Raw genomic sequence first — 16840 nt, forward strand, 5'->3', positions numbered from 1 at the left:
CATAGGCTGAGTATTATGGGTTACAATCTTCCCGGATGATGCCTGTTCATTGCTGGGCAGGGGCTGTAGGTGGTTTTTTAGGGTTGTTTTGCTCCATTTTGTTGCAGCCCACAATGCATTGCAATCCTAGCTAGCTCAGGGGCTCATAAAGTATTTGATTTATGACCGAAGTAGCTGGGCAGGCTGATAAGAACAAACAAAATGAACTATTTTGTAGGCTAGTAAACTTTCATCTTAGACTAAACTTCTTTGGTTCGGGGAGGGCAACTAAGGAGTGGGGAAGTGGGGGGAAGGGGGATGGTGGGGAAGTGGGGGAGGCCGAGAAGCAGGCATCAGCTATCCAAGCAGGGGCCTAGTGTATCCTGTTTCTTCTGTAGTTTGCTGACCTAAGCCAATTCAGGCACTTCATCCTGGAAATGGCCCACTGTATACATTATTTCCTTCAAAGAGCCAGGGGAGTAAGAGAAAGTGTCGTGTGACCTAGAAGCTTGGGATTTGGAAGGGAGCCGAGGGGAAGGGCAGACCCAGGCAGCACCTGGGCTTCCAGAAGAAGCTGGTGCTTCCACCACACTGACCTAGACAAGGCACAAGGCATCCCCCTCTTCTCTGGGCCCCAGCTTCCTCAACCATAGCATGAGGGGTTGCACTGTCTAATCCCCAAGGCCCTCTACCAGGGATTCTGTAAGAAGGCATTCTGCATGGCCAGGGATGGGACCTGCTCATGGAGAGACCCAGGGCAATTGCAAAGCAAAACAAATGGCAGGTGGTGGGGTGCGAATGTTGACCCTCTGGTGAAATGCAGTATTGGAGCAAAAGAGCATGGCAAGGGAAGCCCTCTGTAGGCCTGTGCACTGTTTTTTTTCCTACATTTCACTTATTATTGTAAAAATATTATCATAATATTTTATTATTAATATTTATTATTATTATTTTGAAACAAGGCAGTTTCAAAAAGGAGAAGAATTTCACCCCACTCATAGTCCTGCAGAGGATCGCCTCTCATTGTCCCTCTTCTCCATTCGTCTTGGGCAGTGCGGCCTGGACACTGGGAAGTGCCCCCGGAATGCCACGGGGAACAGCCTGGCCCCCACTTCCTTCCCTCCATGCTGGCAGCTCTTAGCGTTTATCCTGGGCTTGGATGCAGTTTCTTGCACTCCAAGGACAGAAATGATAGGAATGATGAGGGTTTTAACAACCAGCATCGATACTGCATTTTCCGAGTTACAGAACTCCTTCTGTCCTTCTGCTTACTTGATTCTCACCACAAGGATCCTCAGCCTCTGACCTTGTAAACAGTCAGAAGGGCAAGAATCACTGTGTCCATTTTACAGCTGAGGAAATACTCGGAGAAGATAAGCAACTTGTTGAAGGTCACAAAGGTAGAAGCAGGCAGAGGTTAAGACCAGAGCCTATGCAAAGAGAGGGCAACAGTGGAGCAGAGGCTTTAAACCTGCTTCTTCCTTGTTCCTGTTTGAATGTGTCACCTTGCTCACTCCCCAGGTGCCACTGCCACACGGCCTGGTGGGATCTTGGTGTGGTCACCATGTTCCATGTTTATACTGAAGCTTTGAAGTCTTGGAGAATCAATTAGGCTGCCATGAGTCCTCAGATTCCTCAGGAATCGAGGGAACTGACTCATCAGAAACAAACTCATAAGAGACTGACATATCATATTAGTATGAATTTACGAATTTGTAATGAGAAACTGTCCTGATGAACAGGATACTCATGTTTACTGATCACTGAAGAACTTAAAAATAGCGAAGGTCCCTTCCCTCCCCAGGTGCAGAGGAATGAGCACCACATGGTTTTGTGGATTCCTTTCTAGCTTGGAAAGAGAAAGAGAGAGGCGAGGAAGTGGCAAAGGAGTTCCCTGGACTAGAAGATAAATTCAGAACTTCAGGGAATCACTGTAATGTGTGGCACTTGAAAGCATAAACCAGATAATTCAAATCTAGGTTCAGGTCCTGGCTTGGCCACTCACAAACTCTATGACCTTGGTTAAATTCCATAAGCTTTCCAACCTTGAGTTAACTCATCTGTAAAAGGAGCATAGCACTTAACTTCTTAGGGTGTTTGGCAGGATTAAATGTGATAATGCCTGGAAAGGTGTCCAGCATCTAGTAAGGACTGCATACGTGCTAGCTATGTTAAAGCTGGATTTTCGAGGGCAGAGAGGGAGAACTCAAACAAGATTTAAGGTCTAGAAATTCAGATATGACTAGGGAATGTTTAGAAAGTACAGGCCACATGCTTCATGTGATGAGCCTCTGCTATGGCAAGCATGTTCTTCAGGTTCCAAGCATGTTGTTCAGACACACCTCAGGGACCTGAACAACATGCTTGCCATACCAGGGGCTCTGGCAAGGTCTAGTCCGTCCCATGGGATAGCAGGTGTTGGGCGTGGAGAAGAGGCAGTCTTTCAGATGTTTCTGTTCAGGCCCAGCTCCTGACATGGAGTGGTGGCAGGATAGAGCCGAATATTCAAAAAGAGAGAAAGAGAGAGACTCTGAGAACTGAAGGACAAATTTGGGGAAGAGATCAAAGAAGCTAAAGACCCGGATGAATGTCAATCAAGTAGGGCCAACAGGCTCAGAGAGGAGATTTTCTAGACATCAGGGCAGGAGAGGAAATGATTTAACTCAGCAACAGGCTGCCACAGTGAAGACTGGGATGGGATTAAGATCGGAAGCATTTATTTTATCAGCCAACAGTTTGACTGCCTGTTCTCCTGAGAGAAGATTGTTTATCCCAACAGGGAAAGGCTTATGGCCTGGCACTGTCCCCTGGCCTGCCCCATGGGGTATTCCCCATGCCAGGATCTCTAAGGCTTCTTCCAAAGTGTGTCCTGCAGAGACAGTGAGCAGATATTCCATTGTCACACATACAGCAGGAGCCTAGCACGTCCCTTCCTCTTAACACTTGCAGAGATAACACATGGAAGCCACAAGGCATGCGGGAAACAGTGTGGCCAATCTGATATGTGCAGCATGAAAGCCTGGAGCTAGATATCAGGTAGGACTTCCAGTAGGACCACTGAAGATAAGGACGTTAACTGCAGGGAAACAAGTGGGGAATCTTGCTCCCTGGTAACTAGCTAAATGTCCAGAGCAATGTCCTACCCTACTGGTAATTCTGCCATTTCCATTTCTTGGGTCACAAGACTCCTGTTTTCAGCAAGAATGCACCTGACCTCCACAGGCACCTGTAGGTCATCAGATTTCCTCTGGCATGTGGTAAACTTGGGCCTGTGAGGAGCTGTTCTTCCCTGGAAATAGCTCAGGACCCAAGAAACATGTGCTCTGCTGGGGTGAAGTAGGGCTGACCTGGGTTGGAACAGAAGGAAGATGGAATGAAGGGGCTTTAGAGCCAAGAGAATATGAAACACCCAGGCATGGCCTCATGCCTGCCTCTGGTATGGGCTTTATGCACACATGATTTGTGTGGGTCACCATAACAGGGCTCCGCGAGGGAGCTAGAAAGAATGAGACAAGGTCCCTGCTCTCCAGGGAGCAATTAGCTCATGAACCGGAAGCTGGGGATGCATAAAGGGCCCAGATTAGGGGAGAATAGCCACAGTTACCAAGCATCAAGTAGATGCCATAGGCTTCGTGTAGATTATTTCACTCACTCTCACAGCAAAATCATGTAGCAGGTATCCCTACTTTACACACAAGCAAATGGGCTCAGAGAGGTTAAGGAACTAGCCCAGTGCCACACAGCTAGTGAGTGGCGGGATTTTAACCACAGTCAGTCTCTCTGGTTCTAAATCTCATAGTTATACCACTCTGCTGCCTTCCAGCCCTTGTTACCCTCTGGTAAGCTCCTCTGGCATCATCTGTAACTCAGAGTCACCGATTACACCACACAGAAGAGGCCAGCACATCTCGATTTAGAGAACTCTAGCACAAGACACCAAGAGCGATAAGAAACTGATACAGCAAGCTAAAGGGTTGTCCTTTGTTCTGAAATTATATTCTTCCTACTTTTCATTTTTTTAATAATATTACAGGAAAAGTGAATGATACTTTTGCTTTTTATTTTCTTATTTGACAAAATAAAACATGGGACGTCCCAAAAGAGAAGATAGTTGCTACTTACTAGGGCTTGCCAACCATTGTACGTGTATTAGCCCTTCGTTCTTGGGACACCTCCTTTCACAGGACCTTGAGGCACAGGAGTTTAAGCGACTTGCCCAAGGCCACAACGCAGGTAGCTGGTACAGCGAGCGTTCAAACCCTAGTGGTCGGGCTCCAAGTCTGCACTACAGTTAGAGGCTGCGACTCTACCCCTAATTACAAGTAGGCTGACCCTGGCTGCAGCCTCATGTGCTCCCTCCTCTCAGGGACCCCAAAGGCACTCGCCCCGGAGACCTGGTCCCCAGCTGCCTCTCCTGTGGAGTACCCTCTCCCAGCATCCCCGGCATTTCCGTGAGCTATTCTTTTGTGGTTCCTGATGGTCACCCGTGGTCCCTTTGGAACCTATTGCTTACTCAGGCCACAAAGGGCTGGGGTGTAGAGGGCTTAAGGAGTAACTCCATTTTGTTTTCTAAAAGTCTTCCTTGCTGTAATATTGGGGTCCAAGACTGTGAGGCCCAGCCCAGCTGCAGTCAGACTCCTGCCATCTTTCCAGTCTTGCCAGCATGGAGCTGTGGGGCCAATCCCCTTGGAGGCACTTCCCTGACCCTTTGGGATCTGCAAGACCCTGACTGCTCCTGAGGCTCCCACGAGGCTCCCACGAGGCTCCTGAGGCTCCCACGAGGATGGCTGTGCAATTCTGGCACTCATGTGAGGCAGCAGTGTTGATTATGTAAAGACAAGGGGGGCGTTTGCCCATAGGGAAGAGCTAGGGAAGGACCGACACAAATTCAGGACAGGGATTCTTCTGAGGAGGGGAGAGGAATACACAGGGCATCAGAGGCTTCAAACGTGCTCTTTCTTGAGCTGAGTACATGTGGATATTTTTCTGTATGTTTCATCTCTGTGTTACCTATATTTGCATATATAAAATACCTCATAATAAAAGAAAAAATAAGTAATATCTGGAGTTCACTAGGCTGTACTGAAGCCACAGGGAGATGACTTTGGGTTGTGGCCAGGGCAGGATGAAGAGGCCGTGGTTCTGCAGCCTTATCCTGAGGCTGGGTGAGAATGTTGAGAGATGGGAGCTCTCTTCTCCTGGGGTAATCACAAGAGCAGACGTGAAAGGTGAGAAAACCAAGGTGTACAGTGAGCTGTGTCTGCCTGGGCCAGAGAGAGACGTGCCTGTGTGAAACTGTGTGTCATGTGTTGGGAAGCGGGCAGGGAGGATGTTCTTCGAGCTTGAAATTGCCACCAGAGCCATGCCTGTTTATGACAATGTAAAATGCTCAAAGACAGTAGGATTCCGGGGGCAGTAAGATGGCACTCGCCAGTATGGCCCAGCCTGGGAGGCTATGAGGGAGGCGGTGCCTGAGGAGGCCTGAGGAAGCTTCCAGAGGAGGCCTTCCTGTGGGATGGGCTGAGCAGGGGAGGGCTCCACATTCGCCCATGGGGACAGTCTGCAGGAGCCACCCTGTGGCCCACCTTGAGGGAGTGGCCGGGGTATTCTGGCCTAGGTGAGGGGAGGGCTGAGCCCAGAGAAGTGGCTGCGACCCTTTGACAGGAACACTCTAGAGACAAGCCAGCCCCCACCCACACCTTTAGGAGCAGCTGTGAGACCAAAGCCTGGAGGCAACAAGGAGAGGAAGAACTTCTTCTCTCCTTGGGAGCCAGACAGGAGAAGCATCTCTTACAGCCAGCGAGGTCAGGGCAGCCTCTGGAAGTGGAAGAGAGCCGGGACAGCCACATCTGCCCTCCTGCAGGGGCTTCTGGCCTGGATGGTGGCAATCAAGGGGCCATGGCAGGGGAGGCTTATGCTGTGTCACTGGGAGCTGAAGTTCATCTGATGGCTTCAGGTTAGCAGGAGCAGGGATGGAGCAGCGACACAGCGGGTGTGGCCAGGGCCCAAGCAAATGGCAAGTGGGGAGGGAGGGAGCTGGGCCTCTCCTTCCTGCCTGATGCCAAAGTGTCTTGTCCAAGCTGCCCTCTTACAATGAGGATACAGAGCCCAGAGAGGGGAAGTGATTTGCCCACAGTTATGCCGCACACTCTGCAGGCTGCGGTGGGATTGCCTCCTGACTCCTGGCCCAGTGCCCTCTCCACCACCTTGGGCAGGACCTTCCAGCTCGGGCTTCGAATCAGCATGAAGTGAGTTGATTTCTTGTCTTGTCACTAACACTGGCCTTCTGTTCACCTCCACCCCCCTCATGCCATCTGGGACCTCAAAAGACACCTGGCTTTCTGTGCTCGGTGCCTTTATTCTGCCCGTCTGAGATCACCATATTGATTCAAAGAAAGGAGGGAAAAGAAGTGTTTTAGAAAGGGCTAAAAATCTTGAGGGGACGTGACGCATGTTGTTAGCTTTTGTCTAGAAAATGCTTCATAGCTTTGTCCCAGAAGAGCTTTAAGAATGGCTGGCAGAGTCTGGGATAATCTAGTGCAATTGGCCAGGCCCTCTGGAGGAGTCTTCATACCCAAGGAGTCCATCAGCCTTCAAAATGCTCCTGGTAGAGTCTCTAGTAATTACTGTGCTAGCCATTGCCGAGATAGGAGAACAGCCCTCAAGCTCCTGCTCTGGCAAGCCACCCCACTATCAACAGCAGACTCCCTCAGGGGCTGAGCCTGCAGGTAGCTCCTCATTCCAGCCCCTCTGGTAGGAGAGTGCCGGGCCTCGGTCAGCACCTTCCTCCTCCCCCTCCTCTCCTGGCTCTCACATAGCCCTTCAGTTGCTCCTGTCCCCTTAGCTCCTGGCAGTGGGCAATGTGGCTGCCAGGGCCTGCCTGGGAGCCCAGAGAGGCTCACTACCCCGAGTCAGCTCCCTGGCAGGAGCTGTGTGAGCACAAATGCTGGGGGCCACTGCAGGTGTTCTCCCTTCTCACCTATTCCTGGGTGGAAAGTTGTACTTCCCACCGTGGTGGATATGCTAACCTATGGGTTCATTTCATCTTCATCACTATCCTGGAAAGGAGGTATTTGCATCCCCATTTTGCTGATGAGAAAACCGTGGTCCAGAAAAGTTGGGTGTGGTTCTCAAGACCTCCTAGCAGGTAGTTGCAGAGCCTGGGGCCTCACTCCACTCAGGCTCTCTTCCGTTTGCGTGAGGATTCCGTCAGTGCCAAGGATGAAGATGACCAGGCTCTGAAAAGCCCTGAAATATTTTATCTGTGTGACCAGAGAGCTGCCTATATCCCTTGGCACTCTTCTCAGCATATGGAAAATACTCCATGATTTTCTCTCCATAATAGTGTGCTTAGCCTGGGGCCTATGGAGTCTGTAAAGCCCCTGACATGAAGGTAAAATTTGGCATGTGTGAAATCATGTGCGTTTTTCTAGGAAGAGAGCCCTGAGCCCTTAGCAAAGGTATCTGGAACCCAGAAAAGTTCCACAGATCTGGGGGCAGAGAGACCAGGGTAATCCTGGCTACCAAGAGAAAGAAAGGAGAAAGAAAGGCTGAGGCTCCCAGGGGGATTCAGTTCTTGAGGAAGCAGACTCGAGTTCAGAATGTTGACTTTTTACCAGGTGATGCACTTGGGATCAACACCCATGGAAGGGAGGGGAGGCACACAGCATGGGGCAGAGTCTACCGCAAAAGCCCAGCAGCAGCCTTGGCCAATCCCACGTGGCACATCAACCTCAGCCCATGTTGGGTAAGAATGGTGAGCCTTTACATCCCCACTGAAATTGGTGCCTGCGTGTGGACAGCCCTTGGAAGGATGTGACTTTGGGCCAGGTAGCTCTCTGTAGCTGAGCCAATCTTTGGTGGGGCTGATGGGGCTGACAGCTAAAGGCACTCTCCACAGTGCTCCCAGCAGCTGAGCGAGAAGTCCTCCCTTGAAGGAGGGTCTGGGTGGCACATCACCAAGCCCAGCCCAGCATTTCTGCCCTTGGAAAAGTAGTGGAGAATAAATAATATCTACCTATCCATCCATCCATCCACCCATTTAACATTTATTGCACACATCTTATGAGCCAACCACCTATAATAAGTACCTGTGATAAAAAGGTGCACATGGCACCGTCTGGTGGAGGAGAGAGACACATCAGTGAATAATTAAAGCACAAAGTGGTCATTGCTGAAATACAGGCAAGTACCAAGAATTGTTAGAGCATAGAGGAGGGTGGGACTGACTCCTCCTGGGGAAGTGAGCGATTCCTGAAAGAGGTGACGATGCAGAGAAAGGAGTGGATGGAAGGCATCTCCAGCAGAAGGAAATCATAAAGCGGGATGGTGGCCTGAGAGGGTTCGGCAGATCTGGCAAAAGTATCAGTGTGGACGGAGTGGACAGGTCACTCGGTGGGGATGAGGGTAGAAAGGGAGATTGGAGTAAGATTGGGAATGGACTTTATCCCACCAGTATTGTGGAGTCACTGACGGGTTTGGGCAGAGGGTTGGCCTTGCGGAAATCAGCTCTGAGGATAGACAGGCTGTGGTGGCCACTGGAACCCCAGGGCACCATCTGTGTGCCAGGACCAGGCATGCTCAGCAGGTGCCTAGCATACCTCTAAGCATAAGCCAGCTTCCCACCTGAGTGACCCTCGGATGTGATGTTGTTCTGTTCCAACACACAGGTCATTCTGCTCTTTGGCACATGTGATATTCCTCTGAGAATGAGCGATGGCCCTGTTTCCCTACTTTCTCAAAGATGTTCACTTCCCATACTCAAATCCTGCTCTCATCCATGGAATGACTGTTGATGCACTGGGCCCTGTGTGTATCAGCCTAATGTCATGTGAACACATCAAAGCTTTCTGTGGAAAGCTTTCTGAAGGACCCCTTCATCTTGGTGCCACCCACGTTCTACTTTTGGCTTCTCAAATGGGTGCCCCAGCCCAGGGAGTAATCCTGTGACCAGCATCGCTCATATACCAGCAGTGACCTCACGTTTTCTCCCGGCTAGCGCACTGCCACTCGGAATGTTTCTGCAGCCTAAGAGAGTGGAGAGCCCCAGGACCCCCCTCCAGTGCTCTGGGAAGGGCCTTTAAGAAGCTGCTCAGGTCCCAGAGAGAATCCCATCCACATACTTCCTGTCGAAGGGCCAGGCTGCCTGAAATCTGACCCACTAGGGATGACAGCTGCAGACTGTGGAAGCTGGAGAGACACAGCCTGTGTCTTGGAAGGAGAGGAGAGATGTTCTGGGAGCTAGAGCGATGGGCTTCCAGTTCCATAAGAGACTGGATTGAAGTAGATGGCCTTCAAGTTAAATAGATGGTCCTTCCACTATGACAGCCTAAGGTGAAGATTCCAGCCTCTTCCTCAGACTTATTTGTAGATGGAGTGCAGAGGAAAACAGAGGCTGAGGACATGCTCTTGATGCTCAGCCACCAAAGAGAGGGTGTAAGGACTCAGGCCTCTGCTGTGCCCTGGCAAAGCACCAAAGCTCAAATCCACACTGACAAATGCCCACCCAGGAATCCCCACATCATGGGTCCCATGTGTTGGTGACACCCAAGACCAAGGCCCTTTCGCTGTTTGCTGCTCCAGTGGCTGGAACGGGGTAGGAGGAAGCCTCCAGAAAGCCTGTCCATTTGGAAGGCTGGGGAAGGCCATGGGGAATAGTGGGAAAACCCTACTTTTTCAGTTCCATGAAGGTTGACAAGGGGGCTAAATGTTGAGAACACCCCCCCGCTACAGAATTCTTCATTTCATTTTTCTGGGGACTCCTTTGGGACTCCATGCCATACGATTCTAGCTCAGAAAACAGCCGCCATCGCCGTCACCCTGTATTAGGGTCTACTGTGTTCCGGGCGCTGTCCTAGGTGCTGTGTGTGCTTTATTTTTTCCTGACAGCAACCTTGAAAAGTTGTTATTAGGATAACTTGCCCAAGTCACATAGTAAGTAGCAGAGCCGGGATTCTAACCCAGGTCTCCCTGACACCAAAGCCGTGTATGTTCTTTGCCCTCCACGATGTTATCTTCAACATTGCCACGTTGAGAACAGTCCAGGGGTTTTGTGGCCACCTTCCACCACACGGTCTTCTAGGTAAGTCTATGGAAGGCAGGCAAGGATAGGGGTTCCCTTTCCAACACTTTTTCATTGTATACCTGAGAGGGCCCCAGTCTCTCAGGTCCCCGAGCACGGAGATGGGCAAGGTGGAGCTGGGTCCACCAGCCAGAGAGCCTGGAACCTTGGGGCCAGTGGGCCTTGATAGGCCGGCCTCTGCCCTGGGATTCAAGCTCCTAGAGTGTCCAAGCAGGAAGGGTCCCTAGAGAAGAGCAAGCTCCCTCCGTGGAACAGATGAGGAGACTGGCCCAGGAGGAGGACACAAATTGCCCAAAGCCACAGAGCTAGTTAGAAGCATTGTGTGTGCGTGAGTGTGTGTGTACATGAGTATATGTGAGAGAGAGATTGTGTGTGAGGGGTGGCCCATGAACAAAGGCCCACAACAAGGCTATTTTTTAAAATTTGTTTTGTTTTATCACAAGTAGTTTATTTGGGACAAGGTGACCCCAGGAAAGGGCTGTAGAGGAGTAGGGAAATGAAACACAGAAGAGAATGAAGCCATGGCAGAGTTCATTAATTATCAAGTGACTGCTTTGGGCCACTGGGGCTCGATCCCACTGGGGACTTAGGGAGATGGTATAGGGTGTGCCTCAGAGTTGTCCCGTGCAAGGGACAGGGAAGCTGGGGCATTTATGCAACAACCCCGTTGTCATTGGCCGAGTGCTGCCATCAAGGGACGTCGGCACCCAGCACCTCTTGCCAAGCACATTCCAGCAATCAAAGAAAGCAGAGGGCTGGTATTAAAGGTGTCTGGACCCTTGAGTAGCCACCAGTTCCCTAAAGAGTCTTGAAAACCTTTTAGGGTAGAGAGATCCTGGGCATCAGTGCCAAGGACAATCTGGAGGAAAGATGAGTAAAACTGTATGCTGCCCGGCAGGCCCTGGACACAGGCTGTGCTGTGGTGGGAAGGGGCTATTTCCACGTGCTCCAGGGGAAGAGATGTCAGGTAATACAGCAAGAGAGGTTGAAGTTAGAGCTTAAAAAGAACTTCCCAGTGACACTAGTGAAAAACATATCAAAGATGTCTAGAGGCTGGGCACGCTGGCTCATGCCTGCAATCCCAGCACTTTGGGAGGCTGAGAAGGGACAATCATTCGAGCCCAGGAGTTCAAGACTAGACTGGGCAACATAGTGGGACCCTGTCTCTACAAAAAAAATTTAAAAATTTGCCCGGTATGGTGGTGCGTACCCACCTGTAGCCCGGTGTGGTGGTGCGTACCCACCTGGAGTCCCAGGTACTCAGTAGGCTGAGGTGGGAGGATTGCTTGATCCCAGGAGGTTGAGGCTGCAGTGAGCTGTGATTGAGCCACTGCACTCCAGCCTGGGTGAGTGAGACACTGGCTCAAAAATAAATAAATAATAATTTTAAAAAAGACATCTAGAGCTATATTGAGCCATGCAGCTTGATTGGTGGCCACAGAAGAAATGGTGGACATAGAAAAAGGCAGCAGCAATGAAGATTTTTCACGGCCAGGGCCAGCCAGCAAGCACTCCTTTATCTGCCAGAGGTGCAGGAGAGTGCTGGGAGGGCAGATGGAGATTGAGAGAAGGGAGATTCTCAACCCCACCCTTGGCTGGGAGGAAGCACCAGGAGGAACACCTCTCTGCACCCTAAGGTCCAGTGGAAGCCGCAGGAAGAGGTCCCTCCTCTGGTGTCATTTGGCCCATCTTTCATGGTGGCAAAGTCTTGGAAGACATAAGTCCTTAGGTTGCAGCTGTCCTGCACCAGGGCCACCCCACCACCCTGGGCCCCTGTTCCTCATTTATAAAAATGGGGAGGTTGGGAGGCTGCATTAGATGACCTTGAGGTCCCTTCCAGTCCTGATTTTCTGTCACTGTCCACTGTAGAGCCATCCCCGTGGCCCCTGGGTTCTCCTCAGTTCACCATCAACAAGTGTTGACTAAGCACTCAGCATTTGCCCAGCATGAAGGGGCTGGGGGACGTAATGAAATAACACATAGGCCCTGGCTTCTAGGAAGGGATAGCTGGGGAAATAAGAGTTTATTTACTGGGCCGGGCACAGTGGCTCACACCTGTAATCCTAGCGCTTTGGGAGGCTGAGGCGGGTGGATCACCTGAGGTCAGGAGTTCGAGACCAGCCTGGCTGACATGGTGAAACCCTGTCTCTGCTAAAAATACAAAAAAATTAGCTGGGCGTGGTGGTGCATGCCTGTAATCCCAGCCACTCGGGAAGCTGAGGCAGGAGAATCACTTGAATCCAGGAGGTGGAGGTTGCAGTGAGCCAAGATCTCACCATTGCACTCCAGCCTGGGCAACAAGAGTGAAACTCCATCTCAAAAAAAAAAAAAAAAGAAAAGAAAAAGAAAGTTTATTTACTGAGCACATACTCTGTGCTAAGCACCTGACCTCTGCTGCCTCCTTTCTTCCTCACTGTAACCTCCTAAGGTAGGAACTAGGACCTCCTAAGGTAGGAATTAGGACAAGGGAACCAAGACTCAGAGGAAAAGCCAGTTGCCCAAAGCCACACAGTCGTAGAGCTTGAATTTGAGGCCATGGTGTTAACCACGATGACTCTCCTCCTCTGGGAAATAGACAGTGACTCTCTAAGGACAGCTCCTAGTGTTCCAGGAGACACAGCAGTGAAAGCTGCAGTCGTCCAGGAAGGCCTCATGGAGGAGGTGGCTTAGCACTGGGCCTCAAGGGAGGGGCAGAACTTGGAGGCTAGTGGGGAAGGAAGCAATCTGAGGGAACCAACTCTACAAAGCAGGCTGGACCATGTCTGCTCCAGGCAGCAAGGTGTCTTCTTAGAGTAGGCAGGAGGGCTGCAGCCATGGCTCAGCCTGCTGTGGCTCCCGGGGAACAGAGGATGGGTCAGGGAGGAGCAGGTGTTTTCTAAACCCAGCAGGGCAGGAAGCCTCCTCTTCACAGCCGCAGCCCCCACACCTGGAGTCCACCCCCCTGGAAAGGCTTATGCCCAAGCCAGGCCAGGCACCCTGCCTCCTCCAGACTCATTTGGTCAGTCTAAAGATGAGCTGGCTTAGTGTAGATCAGCTTCCCCAGCCACCTGAGCCTGTGCCCAAGGAGCCGGGCCACCGATACTTACAATAGGTAACACATGTAGCAGTCACCATGACTCAGGCACAGCTTAAAGAGTTGTAAGTAACTTCAGCCGCCAGTATCCCTGTGAGGTAGGTACTGTTACTGTGCCCATTTTATAGATGGAGAAACAGAGGTGCAATGAGGCTGAGTGACCTGCTCAGGGTCACACAGCTCGTAAGAGGCAGAGCCCAGATGCACCGCTCTGCCATACTGCTTCTAAGCAGAGGCTCCTGAGCCCTGGCCATAGCTGCCCCTTCCCTCTGTCTGAGCTGCCTCCCCAGGTGCGGGTTCTTCTCCGTGCCCAGGGCTCATCCCTGCCATGGTAGCCCCTCCCTAGAGGAGACTGTGAAAGACACCCCCTCCAGTCCTTGCCACAGGAAAGGCAGGCCAGAGTGCCTAGCTTCTCTCCCCGACCCCCACATCCACACGCACCCTGTCGCCCTCTCCCCCAACCGAGCACCGTTGCCTTCTGTTCACAGTGATGGCTCCTGCACCCAGGCCGGTGGGGGCATGGAGGACTCCGTGGTGGCAGCGGCGGCGGTGGCAGCCGGCAGACCCAGTGCCCATGCCCCGAAGGCTCAAGCCCAGGAGCTGCAGGAGGAGGAGGAGCGGCCGGGGGCAGGGGCTGCCTCCCCAAGGGCTGGCCCCCAGCACAAGGCCTCCCCCGGCCGGCAGCAGCCTGCCCTGGCGACGGCGCTGTGCCCCCACGCCCCTGCCGCCTCCGATTACGAACTCTCCCTTGACCTAAAGAATAAACAGGTACCCAGGGCCTCCTAGGGGGGCGGGGAGGGTGGTGAAGGGGCCCTGCTTTGGGGGCTGTCGAGGGTACCAGGGATATCCCCGCTGGGTCCCCTCCGCTACAGGCACACCTCTTTTGCCACAGTTCTCCTGCATTGAGCGACCTAGTTTGCCCTTCCCTGGACCAGCCACAGGCCTCTGCCTTCTACCATGGCAGGGCTCATACCCTCGCAATGCCAGGCCCTTGGGCAGCACGTCCAGGGGCTCTGCTCCTCACACAGTGCTCAGCAAGCCTCCACCGCCCCACTGACCACTAGGCAAGGAGCCCACTGTTCTCTGGGGTGTCCCCACCTCCATCTGCTGCTTAGAGGCCATAGTCCAGCTTCCACGCCCACCAAGGGAGCCGGTGTTAGGCACCCACAGGCACAAACGAGGCACAAAGACAATGGTCTCCTCGAAGCAGACAGGATTCCCAAGATCAGTCCAGACTGGGGGAGTCCAAAGCTCCTCTATTGGAGAACAGATTCCATGGAGGGGCCTGGGCCTCCATTTTCCATTCAGGAAGAGAAAGTGGCCAATTGTGGGGCCCCCATTGAACCCCCAAAAAAGATAATGCCTCAGTTTGTCTTGGCAGACAAGAGTCTTGATGGAAGGTGTGTGTGTGTGTGTGTGTGTGTGTGTGCGCTTAGAGAAAGGTGTGATGGTGTGATACTGTTAAGGAAAGAGCTTTGAACTTGGAGATGTAGACATGGGATCCAGTCCTCGCTCTTCCTCCTATGAACTCAGTGACTTTGGGAGTTGCCAGTTAAACCCTCTGGGCATTCGTTTCCTCATCTGCAAAAAAATGAGAATTAACTTTGAATCACCTCCAAGGTCCCTTCTGCCCCAAAATGTGTAGGTTCTAGAGAACAATTCTTCAACCCAATAGGCAAGGTATCTTCAGAAAGGAAGCTAGTGGGAAGGCCACTAAGACTGAGTCAAGCCAAACTAACCTCCTTCCTCTCTTGGCATTGATGCCAAGCTCATATCCTGGCTCAGGCCAGCTGTAGGCAGCACATCAGTAAAGTGTTTGACCAAATCCCCCAAGATACCCTATGTGCACATGCCAGGAATGTGTGGATTACTAACAATATAGTAAGGAGGGTTGTTCTCAAACCGAATTATCCAAAAAATATTCATCAAAAAAAATCCCAGGGAGTTGAGTGGACATGCTGTCCAGGTCACTGATAAGGCACCAATTTGAGGCATACAAGTTACATTCACCTGGCTTTCTGATGACATAAAGCTGAAAGAGAACAGCTGATACCTTGGTGATAGCATCCCAGACTTTGTAAAAACCTCATCAGGGGCCAGGCGTGGTGGCTCATACCTGTAATCCCAGCACTTTGGGAGGCCAAGGCGGGTGGATCACGAGGCCAGGAGTTTGAGACCAGCCCGCCCAATATGGTGAAACCCTGTCTGTACTAAAAATACAAAAATTAGCCAGGCGTGGTGGCGCATGCCTGTAATCCCAGCTACTCAGGAGGCTGAGGCAGAATTCCTTGAATGCGGGAGGCGGAGGTTGCAGTGAGCCAAGATTGCACCACAGCACTCCAGCCTGGGCGACAGAGTGAGACTCTGTCTCAAAACAAAACAAAACAAAACAAAAAACACCTCATCAGGACAGAAGGATGGTTTTAATGAAAAAAAAAAAGTCGGATGAAATGTGGAAAAATCTAAAATTCTGCTCCCAGCTTCGAAAACCCCACAGCACTAGCATAAGACATTCAGGCCCTTCGCCCACTTTTTGAGAAGTGTCTGTTCATGTCCTTTGCCCACTTTTTGATGGGGTTGTTTGTTTTTTTCTTGTAAATTTGTTTGAGTTCATTGTAGATTCTGGATATTAGCCCTTTGTCAGATGAGTAGGTTGCGAAAATTTTCTCCCATTTTGTAGGTTGCCTGTTCACTCTGATGGTAGTTTCTTTTGCTGTGCAGGAGCTCTTTAGTTTAATTAGATCCCATTTGTCAACTTTGGCTTTTGTTGAACATGGCACACATCTATAGGAGACTGAACTCGACTCCTCTCTCTTCTGCCATGAGCTGTATGGCCTTGGGCAAGTTGCTTGACTTCTCTGGCCTCAGCTGCCTCCTATGTCTGGGACTTCACAGGCTCTTCCCTTGGCCTCAATCTCTGAAGTTTCCGCTCCCCTCCACACCCCTGCACTTGGCCTTCTCTTGCTTTAGTACTTGCTTTAGGTACCTCTTCCTCCTCTCAGGCAGTTTTCCCTGCCTCCCAAGCCTGCACTGGGTGTCCCTCTCAGTCATCCCACAGGGCCCGGGTGTCCCCGTCACAGCCCTTCAGCCCTGTGTCAGCATTTCCTGTTTGCTTGACCCCCTCCTTGAAGGCAGGTGCATGACTTGTTCCTCATTATATTCTCAGTGCTTAATGCAGTGCCTGGCGAAGAAGCTGCTGGAAGGATAAGAGACGGGAAATGATCACTTAGTGACATAAAGGGGGATGGGATGGGTATACAGCATGGCGCCAGGAACTGACTCTGCCTTAGGTCTCTTTGAGATCTAACACTTGATATTCCAACCCAGTGATTCCGCCAGCCACACTGAATCCCGTGTTCCATGGCCTGGGAGGGGTGTTGGACAATCTTAGCTCCCCAGCCCACCGACCCGCCAAGCCTCCTCTGTCAGCCAGTCCAGATCCCCAGGACGGTTTTCCTTGGCTGTTCTCCTTCCTTCGCCTCTGCTCTAGCCCCAAGCCCCACTGATGCTGCCTCTTAACAGTTCCCGAATCCCACCCTCTCTTGCCTTCCCCAGTGCCCCTGCCCCAGGAGGCCAGGCCATCCTTCCTCTTGCCTGCACGCCGGGAGACCTCCTGTGCTTCCCCTTCTTTGAGCTCTGTCCCTTCCAACCTCACCTCCACATTGCAGCTGAATCATCTTCCTAAAGTGCACCTCTGACCGCGCTGA

At 51.6% G+C, this 16840-nt stretch overlaps 1 protein-coding gene across 7 annotated transcripts in view; it reads left to right on the forward strand.

Annotated features, from left to right (window-relative positions):
- The window catches only part of IQSEC3 (IQ motif and Sec7 domain ArfGEF 3), a 111689-nt gene that overhangs the window by 45245 nt on the left and 49604 nt on the right, over positions 1-16840 (forward strand). For 5 of the 7 annotated variants that reach the window (NM_001170738.2, XM_011520958.3, XM_011520960.2 and 2 more), the window contains exon 3: positions 13622-13901. The exons of the other annotated variants lie outside the window; for them this stretch is intronic. In NM_001170738.2, the coding sequence (NP_001164209.1) occupies positions 13622-13901 (280 nt within the window). The remainder of the gene's footprint in view (positions 1-13621; positions 13902-16840) is intronic. 7 annotated transcript variants of the gene reach the window in all.

Source organism: Homo sapiens, chromosome 12, assembly GCF_000001405.40.
Source record: "Homo sapiens chromosome 12, GRCh38.p14 Primary Assembly".
Classification (NCBI taxonomy): Eukaryota; Metazoa; Chordata; class Mammalia; order Primates; family Hominidae; genus Homo; species Homo sapiens.